The sequence below is a fragment of the Homo sapiens genome, chromosome 3, assembly GCF_000001405.40.
Source record: "Homo sapiens chromosome 3, GRCh38.p14 Primary Assembly".
In the NCBI taxonomy this organism is placed as follows: Eukaryota; Metazoa; Chordata; class Mammalia; order Primates; family Hominidae; genus Homo; species Homo sapiens.
In genome coordinates, this window is record NC_000003.12 from 178,306,199 (window position 1) to 178,321,284 (window position 15,086).

General features: G+C 38.2%; 1 long non-coding RNA gene across 2 annotated transcripts in view, besides 1 other annotated feature; it reads right to left on the reverse strand.

The window, feature by feature from the left end:
• Window positions 1-15,086, reverse strand: part of LOC105374235 (uncharacterized) — a 221,596-nt gene that overhangs the window by 142,501 nt on the left and 64,009 nt on the right. The window lies entirely within an intron of this gene.
• Window positions 13,769-13,969: a silencer, noted in NCBI's record as "peak4945 fragment used in MPRA reporter construct". NCBI's record gives its function as "represses an SCP1 promoter by STARR-seq MPRAs in K562 erythroleukemia cells {active_cell/tissue: K562}" and the evidence as "EXISTENCE:reporter gene assay evidence [ECO:0000049][PMID:32103011]".

Genomic DNA, 15,086 nt, shown 5'->3' on the forward strand with positions numbered 1-15,086 from the left:
TGACCTTTGTGGATACTAGGATGATTACTAAATAGTTTAAGAATCGTTGCAAAGATATCTTCTGACACAACAGTGAAGAACAGGAAATTAACAGAACTGATAGGAAGTCAGAGATATCAACATCTTTGATTATACCTTTCTGTATAGCTAGTTATCATCTACATATCATCTATCTAGCCATCCATCTATCTAAAAAAACAACCCATTTTTCTATGTATTTATATAAGACATATGTTTATATGTATGTATGCATCTATCTGTCTACCTATCTGCTGTCTATCTACGTTGCTATCTGCAAAGAAGCTGAAATTACTGTATTGCCATGAATGAAGAGGCAGTCATAATATTCTATACTGAGTAGTTAAGTCATTTCTTTTCATGGTCATAATTAAAACCAGAGGATAAAAACTCTCCTCCTCCCTCTACCCCCTTCTCTCCCCTTCTTTTAGCCATATCACATTTCAATGAGCTATGTAACTTATTCATAACTGCTGGATAGAGGGGGTGGAGGCAACTCCAAATCAAACTAGGAAGAAGACACTGAATCTGTCCTAAATATTGACTTGTGTGTATATATATATATGTATATATATATAGTCATGTGTCATGTAACAACAAAAGTGTGCTTTGAGAAATGTATCATTAGGCAATTTTGTCATTGCACAAATATCACAAAGTGTATTTACACAAACTCAGATGGTATAGCCTATGACACACCTATGTTATATGACACAAATGCTCCTAGGCTATAAACATGTACAGTATGTTACTATGCTGAATACCATAAGTAATTTTAACATGATATTTGTTTTTCTAACCATATTTAAGCACAGAAAAGGTACACTAAAAGCACGGTATTATGATCTTACAGTATCACTGTTGTACATGTGGTATGTCATTGACCAAAACGTCATTATGTGGCACTTAATTGTAATTGTTTATAATTGTTATTAGACAAAGTTCAGCCTGAAAGTTGACATGCAAAATTAAACAACAAAGAACTCAAGATAAAATTGCAAGATTCCTGATATGTGAAGAATCAATGGACACTAGGCTGGCAACACTGTTCTTAGAAGACCATTTGGGTGGGCGGGCAGAGTGCTTCTATTGTGATAAGCATGCAGCAGAAATTCAGCCATCTGGATGAGGAAGGGCAGTGCTCACATTTGGGACAGAGGCCTTTATGTACATCTAGTAGAATGAACATCTGGAAGGTATAGAACAAGGCCTCAGATAATGAGCTAGGAGACAAAAACTCCAGTTACTAGAACTGCAGTACAAGAATAAGAATGAAAGGGGAGGTGAATTGAGATTTAAACCAACAGGAGTGTTCCTGGCAATAGAACTGCCTAAGCCCCAGGGCCCAAAGCAAAATATAAACTCAGATACAAGGGACTTAACTTGCTGTAGTCTTACAACTTTGAGTCTAAATCATACCACCAAATGATGCTGCCTCATCCTAAATCCATCTCCATTTTCTATCAAGTAAGTAATGTGGATGCATGTCTGTATGTATATTCTCACTTGGGATTGTCTTTCATTTAATCTTGATTTCTGTAAGTTTTTCTTTAGATTTTTATGGATTCCCTTTCTGTTTCATATCAGATTACAGTCATTATCTAAAAACACCAATGTGAAAATTCATTGAAAATTTATCCTGTAATTTACTTTGTGATTGGGTTTTTTTTTTTTTACCTCTACTAGTTATTTGGCAAATTAAATATGGTAACTGTGCTGATATATAAAATGGCTGAATTCAAGATGAATGTTGTATAATGTCCACTGACCACAATCTCGACAAATACCTCAATGACATGTGCCTTTGAGTAGATACTTAATTGTAGTATTCTTTTCTTAACATTGGAGACAGAAACAAAAACACAGGAAATAGGAAAACAAGTTTCTGAGTCATATCTTAATATGACTACAATATATTTTAAATTTGTATGCTAGGTCAAGAATACTAAATTGAAGAAGCAATTCCTATAGCAATTGGTCAGATAAAGTCATAATAAGACATTTCTCCAAAGGATTCAAAGCATTTTTTACACTGAATGTAACTAACCCCTTTTGAGGTATGTAGAAAGTGATTATAAACATTTTCATTATGTAAATAAAAAGAAGAAACACACAAAGTGTTCATATAGTAAGAATTCTAAATTTAGATGAATGCATGAGTCTAAATCAACCAAAAATGTAGTATTCATATTACCTTTTTTTTTTTTTTTTTTAATAGATGGAATCTCACTCTGTCACCCAGGCTGGAGTGCAGTGGTGCAATCTCGGCTCACTGCAACCTCTGCCTCCCGGGTTCAAGTGATTTTCCTGCCTCAGCCTCCCGAGTAGCTGGGATTGCAGGCACCTGCCACCACACTCAGCTCTTTTTTTTTTTTTTTTTTTGTATTTTTAGTAGAGGTGGGGTTTCACTATGTTGGCCAGGCTAGTTTTGAATTCCTGACCTCAAGTGATCCACCCCCCTTGGTCTCCCAAAGTGCTAGGATTACTGGCGTGAGCCATCGTGCCCGGCCTCATATTACATTTTGAATATTTTATATAAGCAACAGAAAAAAAATGTTGCCTAGATTAAACCAAAAGATATCATGCCTAGGGAGGAGAAGGAGGAAACATAGAAGGGCAGCTGATGAATCAGACTCAAAAGACAGTTTTGAGGATCCAACAAGTAGGAGCTAACTGTCAGCTTCATCTGTTTACCATCACATGACTTATTCTTTTTTTTTTTTTCGAAGTGTCAAGAGAAAATTGGATTGCTTTTGATACAGGCAAGTTCTTGACTTCATCCTGGAAGGAATTCAAGAACTGGCTGGTGGTAAAAGAAAACAGCTTTATTGAGGCAATGGCAGGGTTAGAGCACTGTGACTGCTCCTGCTTAAGGAGCAGGCTTTTCAGGATTAGCTAGAAAATGGGCGGTAACTTTTGGGCATTGCAATGGCAATGGTAAACTATCATGGTGCTGGTAGACATGTCTTATGGAGCCATGCTTTCAGGGTCTCTTCCCAGTTCTGGGGAGTCTATAGTCTGGTCCGGAGTCTAGTCCCACCTACTGAGTCTAGTCTCACTTTAGTTTGGATCAAGTGTTTGCCATTTGGCTAGAAAAAGTTTATAAGTAGTTCTGTCAATCTAGTATGTATTCTGAGTAAAATATATATAAACATATATATATAATTTTTTAACCAAAAGACAAGAAAAAAATAACAAAATATTAAGGTAATTAATATGATAGTAATTATTTTTTCTTATGTTTTTCTGTTTTCCAAGTTTTATACATTAAGAATTGTTTTGTGTTCAGAAAAGTAACATTTACTTAAAAAAATGGTTCATGAAACACAGCAAAGATAATTTACTTGAAGAAGAATTGAGTTTTTTATCTTATTTTCCTTAAACTCACCTATTGATCATATCCCAAGGATGTGGAGACCAGTGCTATGAATATTCTTCTGTCTAAAAATTGGTACTACATAAAATGCCTCACCTACACGTTTTTCTTTCTTTTCATATGTTCCCACGCTGCTCTTTTTCCTTTCGTTTTTAATGTACAGTTGAAAATGGGATGTTTTATTTTGCAACCAGTATGTTAACCTTTCCTTTAACATTTTCCCTACTAAGTTTAGATACATTAAGGCACAGCTTTTTTTCATCTTTCAAGTGTATATTTTGTTAATATCAATTGATTACTAAAATATTTTGTTGAAAATAATTTTATTTTTAATCAACTGTGGGTAGCCTTTAAAATAGTAACAGAATAATTTCCATTTTAACTTTCGAATTGATAATTTATGCTACATTTGCTTTTTCCATTAAACACAGAACAGAGCAGTCAACTCAAAAACAAATTCCAAAGGAATTTGACAGGATATAAAAACGATTTTTGAAGTTTATTGGAAAGGAATCTCTTAAGCTAGGATCACAGCCTTAGGTGATTGTGAGGAAGATGACTAGCCCAGAAGGAGCCCAGCCAGGGAAGTAATGAAAGGGTTGTTTTTCTATCTTTTGAAAGACTGTAGTGGAAGAATGAAAAATATTTACCAGAGACAAATAATTGGGATAGATCTACCTGGAACATATTGAGAATCTACTTTTAATCTTTCAGGCCTATGGAATTTGCTCAAATTTGTGGAGTAGTAATGGCTATCACTTAAAACATTTTTGAAATTGTATTATAGTTCTTATGCATTCATAATCATAATTATAAATGATGATTTTTAAACATGAAGTTTTTTCATATTAGGCAAGTATTATGTTGGTATGGTAGAAATACCACAGGTCAGAAGTACAAAAATTTTATATTTTCCTTCTGCCATATTCTGGCTTGATGACCTTGGATTTTTTACTTAATGTAAGTACAATTTGCTCTACTGAAGAAAAAGATTTAGGACCAGCTGCTGCCATTCACAGCTGATAGGGTCATTATGTTGATTATCATTATGTGAATTCAATGAAATATATTTTTGAAATGCTTGAAAAAACTATAAATTTTCATAGAAATATAAGGTGGAAATACTGTTGTTATTATTATCATTGTAAGCATAAAATGAGAGACTTGAGTTTCTAAATCACTTTTGATTTCTAAACTATTGATATGTATCATTATTAACTAGCATTTCAAAACAGAAGTAATGTAAGCATCGATAATAGTTTCTTGATCAATGAAAAAGAATATTATGTAAATCCCATGAGTTTTGATGTATATACATTATTTTGAAAAATTGATTTAAAAGCTTTCTTTGAAAATGGATGACATTTACAGCAGCTTCCTATGAATTCTTCATGATTTTAGTACTCTTGAAAGTGACAGATTGACAGCACCAGTTACTGTTTATCTCTAGGAAAAGGCATCAGCAATTAAAACTTCTAAAGGTCTTGGTGAAGTGCCACCTCACAACACAAAAGGATGGTGGTTTGGTCTCCACAGGCTGTTTAATTCTGCAGGGACTCCCAGAAAGGGCCTCATTTGCACTAGTGGTTTTCATGTCACAATCCATTAAGAGTTGAAATGGAGTCTGCTGATTTGCTTTATGGGCTGTGGAACAATACTGTAGAGCAAGTGAGAGCAGAAAGAAGCCCTGGAATGGGAAGGCTTATATCAAGTCAGGCTGGATGAGTGGGGGTCAGCCATGTGACCTCTACAAGAGACTATTATACAGACCAGGGGGGTGGAACACTTTTTCTATAAAGTGCCAACTCATAGGTATTTTCAGCTTTGTAGGTGACATACAGCCTCTGTCTCATATTATGGGGGGGTTGTGTGTGTGTGTGTGTGTGTGTGTGTGTATGTGTGTGTGTGTTTTACAACCCTTTAAAAATCTAAAAATTATTTTTAATGAGGGGGCCCTAAAAATCATGTCATGGGTTGAATTTGGTCCACTGGCTTAGCTTGTGGACCCCTGTTATATACAAAGACATTTGTCTATGTCGGTCATGTCAGTGACTCTCAGAATATGCTCTACCTTACTCCAGCCTCTTCAAACTTTCGGAAAGTTTTGCTCATAGTTCCATATAATTTAATAATTAGGCCTTTATACCTCTGGCTTAAATTTCCCTTTCTAAAAATGAACATTACATACCAGTGAAAAAATTAAAACCTAATTGTGATGGTTAATATTGAGTGTCAACTTGATTGGATTGAAGGATGCAAAGTATTGTTCCTGGGTGGGTCTGTGAGGGTGTTGTCAAAGGAGATTAACATTTGAGTCAGCGGACTGGGAGAGGCAGACTCACCCTCAGTCTAGGTGGGTGCCATCTAATCAGCTGCCAGTAAGGCTAGAATAAAGCAGGCAGAAGTAAGTAGAATGGGCAGACTTGCTGAGTCTTCCGGCCTTTGTCTTTCTCCCATGTTGGATGCTTCCTGCCCTTGAACATCAGACTCCAAGTTCTTCAGCTTTTGGACTCTTGGGCTTACACCAGTGGTTTGCCAGGGCCTCTCAGGCCTTTGGCCACAGACTGAAGGCTGCACTGTCAACTTCCCTACTTTTGAGGTTTTGGGACTCAGACTGATCCACCACTGGCTTCCTTGCTCCTCGACTTGTAGACGGCTTACTGTAGGACTTTACCTTGCGATTGTGTGAGTCAATTCTCCCTAATAAACTCCCTTTCATATATACATATTTCCTATTATTTCTGTCCCACTAGAGAATCCTGACTAATACACTAATGTTTGCCGGTTATTTAAATGTATCCATTCTATTCTTTTTATTCCTCATTCTGTCCCTGTCCTGTGCATCAGGTGAGGCATAAAAGCCAAACAAGTCCACGCCTGTAATCCCAGCACTTTGGGAGGCCAAGGCAGATAGATTGCTTGAGTCCAGGAGTTTGAGAACAGCCCGTGCAATGTGATAAAACCCCATCTCTACAAAAACTACCAAAAAATTAGCCAGGTGTGATGGTGCATCCCTGTGGTCCTAGATATTCGGTAGTCTGAGGTGGGAGGATCACCTGGCCCCAAGTAGCAGAGGTTGTAGTGAGCCAGCCGAGATGGCAACACTGGCCTCCAGCCTGGACAACAGAGTGAGAACTTATCTCAAAAATAAATAAATAAAATAAAAGCAAAACAAGTCAGATGCAACTGTGAATATTCCAGGCACTCCTCCAGAGCCCTTTCCCTTTGCTCTCCACTGGATCCTGGAGTGTGCCTCCTTTCCACAAGCCCTGAATCCTGAAACATTGCTTTCTATACCTGAAGCTCCTTTGTCTCTCATGTTTTGGCTTTTGGCCCCTGTGCCTTGGGCTGTCCTCCTGTGACTTATTTGACTTCCTTGGATTTCACATGCCCTGAAGTTTTAAATGAGACCCAAATTATAGAATCCATTTTACTGAGAGATACGAGAATTAAGTGAGATAATCCAAGTAAGGGGTCTAGCATATGAGTATTGAAACTCAGTATTTATCAATAGACAGAACAGTAAAGGGAAAGAACTTCTGGGTTCTAAATGTATGGCAAAAGAGTGGTAGAGAAGTTGGGGGCTTTTCTACATTTGTTCCTCCTTTCTCGGGGTACAAGACCAGAGGGAGACAGAAAAATGATTATTTTCATAATTATTCAGAGAGCGAATCCAACCTCTAGCTCTATTATTCATATTAGCAACAACAGGTTCTAGACAAAGAGTAGAAAAAGCTTTGCTTTGTTATCTAAGGAGTATAAATTCGGACTTTTAAAGCAGTCAGGGAGCAGCAGCTGTACTGTACTTCTGTTTAAAAGGTTTTGTTCTTTCTCAGACTGTCTGTCATAAAGACTTTTTCTTCTTTACCCAGCCCAAACTCCTTAGAATGGCACAAAACAACCTCACCACCTATTCCTTGCCACTTTCCTGTCCTACCCTTCTTTCCATATGGACCCTCTAGTCTCCTAATGCCTGTTGCCACTCTATAATCCTTTATGCTTCTTGCATGTTCTCATTTTCACATGCATTTTCTCTTGCACATTCTCATTTTCACGTGAAACACTTTTCTTTGTTAAGTAATGGTGTTTATCACCAACGCTGTGAAGCCTTACCTACCACCCCTTCCGACTCCAGACTGAGTTGGTTGTTCTTCCCTCTATGTTCAAAAAAACCTTTTGTGCAAATCTCTATGAACATTTTATTCACTGTTCTGAAATTATCTGTTAAGCATATTTGTCTCTCCTTCTAGATTGACAGCATATCCTGGACAGAAGTCTTGTTTTATGCATCAGAAATCTCTGGCATTCAGTAGGGTGTCTGTTGAACTCAGTAGTCTGTTGAATAGACTAATGAGTTCTCCATGAATTGTTTAGAATTTTCTGGCAATGTTTTTGCAATTTTTGTTAACCTCATGTCTAACTATAGATGTGAATTTATGTGAGTTCTGGGATTCTATGTCTGTAATCATGTTTATAATGCTCTTTCTGGTCAGAGCAGTAGGTTCTTTGTATTGAGTATTCTGATAGAAACAACACAACTTAAAAGATCTGGATTTATAGAATTCTGATGTGCTAACACCATTAAACTATTTAGAAAACATTTGTTGTGAATCAAATATGTGGTAAATGCTAGAGCTAGAGACAAAATAATGTGTTTTTTGCCCCCAGGAAGCTCTCAGGGGAGAGAAAGAGTCAGACAAGGCAAAAATCCAGTGTGATCAAAGCCATCATGCATGCAAGCACAGGTGCTATCGTAACAAACGGAGAGGACACATAAGCCAAACTAAATAAATAAATCATGGGAAGATATTGTCCCTTCTGACATGACACATAAAGTTAGCTGCTTTTCTGTGGTTCTAGAAAGTCATGGGAAAACCTTCCAAGAGAAGTCATCAAATGGGTTCTCTAGCTGGCTTTCTCCCTTTCCCACTAGAAAGGTGACAAGAGACCACCCCTTCAAAAATCTTTGGACAGGATCCTGTTGCTCACTCCTCAGTGGTCCTTCATGAAAAATGTGGCCAATTAGTTCTTTAATGTGTACAGGTCATCTTATAACAATTCAGGAAAACTTGGAAAATAAGCTGTATGCAAATTATCTGTTCTATGTACCCAGAGGTCTAGGTTTTACAATCATGTTAACTTCCCTTTTTATTTTCCACTATTGCTTATTCAAGGGCTATTATTTTCAGCAATTGTAGTCTCTAGCAAAGCAAAATTTATTCTTTATTTGTTGGTTAGAGATGCTTCTCTTAAAGCCAACTGATCCGAATGTCACTGGTAGCATTTTGGGTTCCGCTTGTGAAACCGCCCTCTACTTGGCTTTGCCCTGTCTGGGTAAGTGTCTGCTCTCTGAACAGGTTTCTCCAGATGACTTGACTTCAAAGATTTTCTTCCACTTAATCCATCTTTGTCTGTGACCCAGGACTATATTTTCTCCTAATCTAAAATGTTCTTCTGAATCTCTATTTGTCATTCTCTTTTATTTTTTTTCTAATAGATCCAAGCTCCTTCATTCATAGCTTACCCTTCAGGGCTTTTCATTTCTATGAAAAGCTACAATGTATATTATTTTCAGATTAAAATGATGCTTCTATATCTTTATTAATAAGGAATTTTCCTACCCTCACTTGATGACTCTGAATCTTAGGTCCAGGCCCCACAAACTCCTTTTGAATAATCTACTTAAACATGACTATTCTTCTTATTCTTCTTATCTCTTCTGACACCTATATGTGTATAACCATTAGTGCAACTGTTACTTTGTTTTATTAGGTTATATCAAGCCCAGGTGAATGGGAGTTAGGGGCATTTGCTCATTAGGTGGATATAAGCATTCTTCTAGATCTAACTCTTAAAGTGGCAGACATGACTGGGTGCAGTGGCTCATGCCTGTAATCCCAGCAATTTGGGAGGCCGAGGCTGGTGGATCACGAGGTCAGGAGATCAAGACCATCCTGGCTAACACGGTGAAACCCCGTCTCTACTAAAAATACAAAAAAAATTAGCCAGGCATGGTGGCGGGTGGCTGAGTCCCAGCTACTCGGGGGGCTGAGGCAGGAAAGTGGCGTGAACCCAGGAGGCAGAGCTTGCAGTGAGCCAAGATCGCACCACTGCCCTCCAGCCTGGGCGACAGAGCGAGACTCCATCTCAAAAAAAAAAAAAAGTGGCAGATATAACCTAAATAACCCCCAATATGCATGCTGTTATATAATCCCTCCCCAAAGTGCAGGAAAAATCTGTGACTCTCATCTACTTGATGAAATACGACAAAGGTGAAAGGACAGTCACTCCCATAGTTGTGTTACAATATATACAACTCCATCTTAGTAGACTGGAGGGATCCTCTTCCTGGCTTGGAAGAAGTAAGCTGAGGTGTTGTGGAAGAGCCTGTGAGAGGCTCATGTGGTGGGAAACTGTGGGCAGACTTAGAAGTTGAGAGTGGCTTCCAGCTGACCACCAGCTAGGAAAGGCGAACTTCAGTACTACACCCACAAGGAACTGAATCCTGCCAACAACCACATGAGCTAGGAAGAGGACCCCAAACTTCTGAAAGGAGCAAAGCCTGGCTGACACATTGCCTATAGCCTTGTGAGACCCCAAACAGAAGACCCAATTAAGCCATGTGTGATTCCTGGCCCATGGAAACTGAGAGATAATATATCTATGTTGTTTTAAGTCTTTAAGTTGGTGGTAATTTGCTATGCAAGATAGAAACTAGTACATTTAATTGGTTTTGCACAACTCAGCCTCACACTCATTTGAGCCTATCTGACAACCTAATACATAATTCCCAAAATGTTCTGTCAAAATCATACTGATAACTTTGAAACAGCATACTTCCTATGTGCCTCATTAGATATTACAGGGAATAGAAGATGAAGTGAACGTACTGATATATATTTAGCTTACAGTCATAAAGTGAAGAAGTATCCAAAAACAGCAACAAAAGAAAATTGATTCTATGGTACATGTTAAAGTCATCTAGAATGCCAGAAAAGGAAAGGATTCGAGGATTTTACAGAGCAGAACACCAACTCCAATTTCCAAGTAGACGGATAACACCACTTTGAAAAGTCTCCATCCTCAATACCAACAATAAGGAGAAAAAGATATATAATATGTGGTCTTTAAAAATTTATAAGATTATAAGATCAGTATAATACCTAACCATACTGAGCTATTATAAATACACAGAAATGAGATAATATGTGAAAATCCCTAGCATAGTAACTGACATAGTATGTAGAATCAAAATAAGCTGAATGAAATGAAGCTCTAATTTATATTTATAATGTTACAACCCTCTGCAAGTACCAGAAGGCTACCCAAACAGCCTCTCCAATATCTAGGCCTTGGAGACTAATGAATCCCAAAGAGAATTACATAATGTAATGGTATCTTGATAGCTGTCTCATGTCTTTCATCCCAAAAAGCTGATCATAGATACTCTCCAAGCCCTCTATGGCTCCATACAACTTGCAGTAATACACAAAATTGAATACCCTCATAGTGAATGGCAGCTCCTCAGCAAGCTCACATTTTCTCCTTTCTGTTGAAGGAAATGTGGCCCTGCTGAGGAGCAGCAATTCAACATGAAGAGGTTTCTCATGATTCCAGCCAGCATTTGGAAGTACAGGGGGCAAGCATGATTGATCCAGAGCAATTCTAGATTATTAAGGGGAATGGGCCCTCAAGAGCCACTATCTTTTTTCTCCACTCATTTGAAAAGCCGAGTAGACTTGTGTTGCAGAGTACTTCCAAAAGAGAAGCCCTTCCTGCAAGAGATATTAATTTGTGATCAATAAAGCTAAAAGGGCCTCTTATAGAATGTCTAAGTGGGTCTCAATAGGTAAATCTATGCGCCACTTTCATTTCCTGTCAGTAAATAGTGTAGTAAAGCCAAAACGTTCAGTACACGTGCTACACGCTATGCAAAGAAAATGTTCCATTTCTCATCCTTTTTTCTTTACTTGGCAAATGGCCTCTTTAAAGTCTCAATTTAAATGCCTCCAATGTCTAAGAAATCTTTTCTGACTCCTCAAGGCAATAATTACCTTATTTACATTCATACAATACCCTGCTTATATCTCATCTTGTATTTCACTTATCACTAAATGTTTATCCTAATATTATAAAGTCCTTTGTGATAGAGACAACATGAGTGATATAGATTTTATATTTATGTCCTAACCTAGGACGTGAATCATTATAGAAATTCAACATATGTTTGGCCAACAAACAAAATAATCTATACAAAATATATGCAAATAGAGGAAGAATTCCCCAAATGTCAGAGATTCAGTCGGCATCACAGAAGTAGTAAACCTCAAAGATAATTAGTTTGCTTTCAAAACTTAGCATTGACCAGCAATCCTCTACCCCAACCACCAGTTGTCATAGAAAAAACCTAGCACATTTCATAATAAAATAGTTCTTTTGAGGCATGTTTATTATATAATGGAATCTCTACAAATATGATGGTTTAGAATTGTGTTCTCATAAAATAAAATAGGACAAGAAATAAAGAACTGCAGTATTTCAACAACCCAAGTTAATGGCCCAGACTCCTTTTATTACTACACATACAGAGAATCATCACTCTGTGAGTGCTGTGGAAAGAGAACCTCAGGAGATCTGATGCCAAAACAGGTCAGGTGGCCAATGTTTCAGCTTCAATGTAGAGAGGGTCTAATAATACAAGTTATTTAGCACTCAGTGTGTCCAAAAGCTCTTTACAACACTAAATAATCCATCATCTCCAAACTCCCTGCGAGATCGGTAAGAATTATCATTCAGTCTTTACAGATGGAATATTTGAAATGTAAAATAGCATATACAAGGCCAGACAGGAACTCAGCACCATGATTAAATAAAAACTCTGAGTTCCCAACATCCAAGCCTTGGCAAAGGAATTTGTCACATTGCCTTTTTATATATAGAGCACGGAAACCCAGGGGGGATGCATAAGAAAGAACTCTGAATTTTAAAGCAATATGGAAATATTTAATTCAGGCTGAAGTTAATAGGTAATCAGCTCAATTCCTCCCCCTCTTGCCTGTGAGTAGCTAGCTGTCAGACTGGCAATTTAGGTGACTTGGAAAAACCTACACAAGCTGAATACTGACAGAGGTGGGAACGAGAAAAATTAAGGGACAACGAAGACTTACATGCTGTCATCTATGCCTTCAGGGAACTTAAAAAAGAAGTATTAGCCCTAGCAATGCATTCACCTATTTGGGTTATTCTCTACACAGAATAGAGTTTCATGACCCATGGCAGAATTTTATAACCGATTTAAGGAAGTTGTTCATCCCAAGAGGTCTTCTTTGCTTTGGGCTCCTTGATTCACATTTCTTGTAGCATGTGCTTACATCATCCTGGCTCGATTTAATAACCAATCAATGAAAAACTAGGCATGTCCCACAGATCAGCACTAGCAAGGATTTGCATCTTGCCTGCTTCACAGAAGTCAAAGTTCAGTTTATAAATTCATCATATAGGAATCTGAGTCCTGACAGCCAAGACAGAGTATAACCCCAGGAAGTAATTTATCTCCCCATCCCCACAGAGATGCTGTAGCTTCAATAACTGATAACAGAGCTGTGGGATAAGCAAGGCATTGGTCATAAATGGAATGTTCTAGTCTGGTGTTCCTCATTTAGGTGCTTTTTGACCTTTGGTGGCTTCTGACATCATGAAATGAGATACAGTCGCTACCTGCTAAGGGACAGAGTGAAGAGGGATGAGAGGAAGTCTCAGTGATTCTCTGCTCAGGTGATTTGCAATACCAGAAGCCAGAAACTGAACTTTCCCAGGAATCTCTCTCTCACCTGCCTGTTTGCTTGATACACCATTACAGCTGCTCCATTACAGTTGCTCAAGAAGAAATGGCTGAAATGGAGCTGTTGCCTCTAGCTGACCAGAATTGGAATGCTCATGTGACCATCTGACCTTTTCTGACAGATAAGACACAGTAATAAAAATAAGAATATGCTTCTCATGTCTGAGTGCGATATAATTTGCATAGCATTTTCAGACACATTTCTGAAGGAGATCCTCCCTGTAGCCCTGGGTGGGAATTGGAATTCGGATGAGGTTTTTCTTTTCCATTTATTTATTTTATTTTATTTTTAGATGACAGAACTTAAGCCCATTGTGCTTCTGCGATTTTCCCAGATTAACACAGGTATTAAGTGGTTGAGTCATTTCCAAGCATTTTTGCACAATTAGCTATTTGTCCTGTCCCTGTCTCCCTGTCCCCAAACCAAAGCAACTTATGTTTATTCAAATGAGGTAGAGATCTAGATGACCTTCCAGGACCCTTCCAATGACACGTATCAGTCACCATATTAATAGCAATATATCTCTCAGAACTAGCCCAAGGATTTAGTAGATTTCCAGATTACTTTGGAAGGAGCAATAATTATAGTCTTTTAGTTGGAACCAGAGAATCACACTCCAAGAAGATTATAAATGGTCATAACTTATATATTTATTTCACTCTGTTGTGCCAAGAGCTAGCAGCTTACAATCCAATAGGGAAGATAGATATTAAATGAAGAAGTACACAATGCCTTAATTCCTACAGTGCTATTTAAAGGATGACAATACTCCCCTGGATACCAGCTAATATATGTCAAACTTCTTATCAATAAACAAATCACAGATTGTTAAGAGAAAATCATGGCAGAAAATAAAGCCAGTTTTGTAGATCATGATTTTCTCTATTGTGGAGTTGATAGAAAAAAAAAAGAGAGTCTGTAAACTACAGAAAAAAAAATATAGCTGAAAAAGTAACCCTGTGGTCTTCTTGCTAGTCACCACTTAAGGAAGTAGAGATTTTTCCAGACCCTTCTGTCACTCTGGGCAGGTGACTGACTTATAACTCAGGTGTGCATTTGCCTGCTTAAATCTGCCTCAGTTCCAAACAGCTTGCCATGCTCTATATATAGAGATGACTTCACCCTCTGTTGGAATGCAGCAGCTGTTCAGCAGTGCACACTGATATGCTTCAGAGACTTAGGCCATATCTAATTGAGCACTTCAATACTGCAGAGATAGGCGCCTTGGAAATATTTAGATAAAATACCTTTGGCCAGATGGAAGCCGGCCAGGATACCAGCATAAAATCTTCATCTCACAGGACTGCTAGTGAGCCTTGGCGGGGGGCTCCATGGAGGGAGGTGGCATCAGGAGAGATGCCAGTCTGTCCTATCCACCCCCTGCACTGTAAACATGACACAAAGAATAGTAGGAAATAGGAGAAATCAGAATTTTGTTGCTTCCTCCTTCTCCCCTTGGCAGACCAAACACAGCCTACCCTCTGTGAAAACAATCTGAATGTTAATGGTGCCTCCATGTCAGGAAGCTTCCCAGTTGTAATATTCCCCCACAGGACTGTCCCTTCCCCTAGAGGCCAGATTGCCAGCCCTGGAAATTGGTTGGCAGGTATAGAATCAATGGTACTTTTTAAACATTTATTTGCCTAGGATTCATTGCTAATCTTGCTAGGAGAAGCAACCAGCTATCACAGTTGGCTGGGAACTGGCCAGAAAGCACTTCTGGCTTTGCTACCCATGGTCCACATGACTCCAGCAAGCCTGTGTTGTGCTGGATCTCACTTTTCCCATCTGTAAACTTTAGAGATTGGCAGATTTAACTTCAATTTCTCTTCCAGCTCTAAAAGAACCTG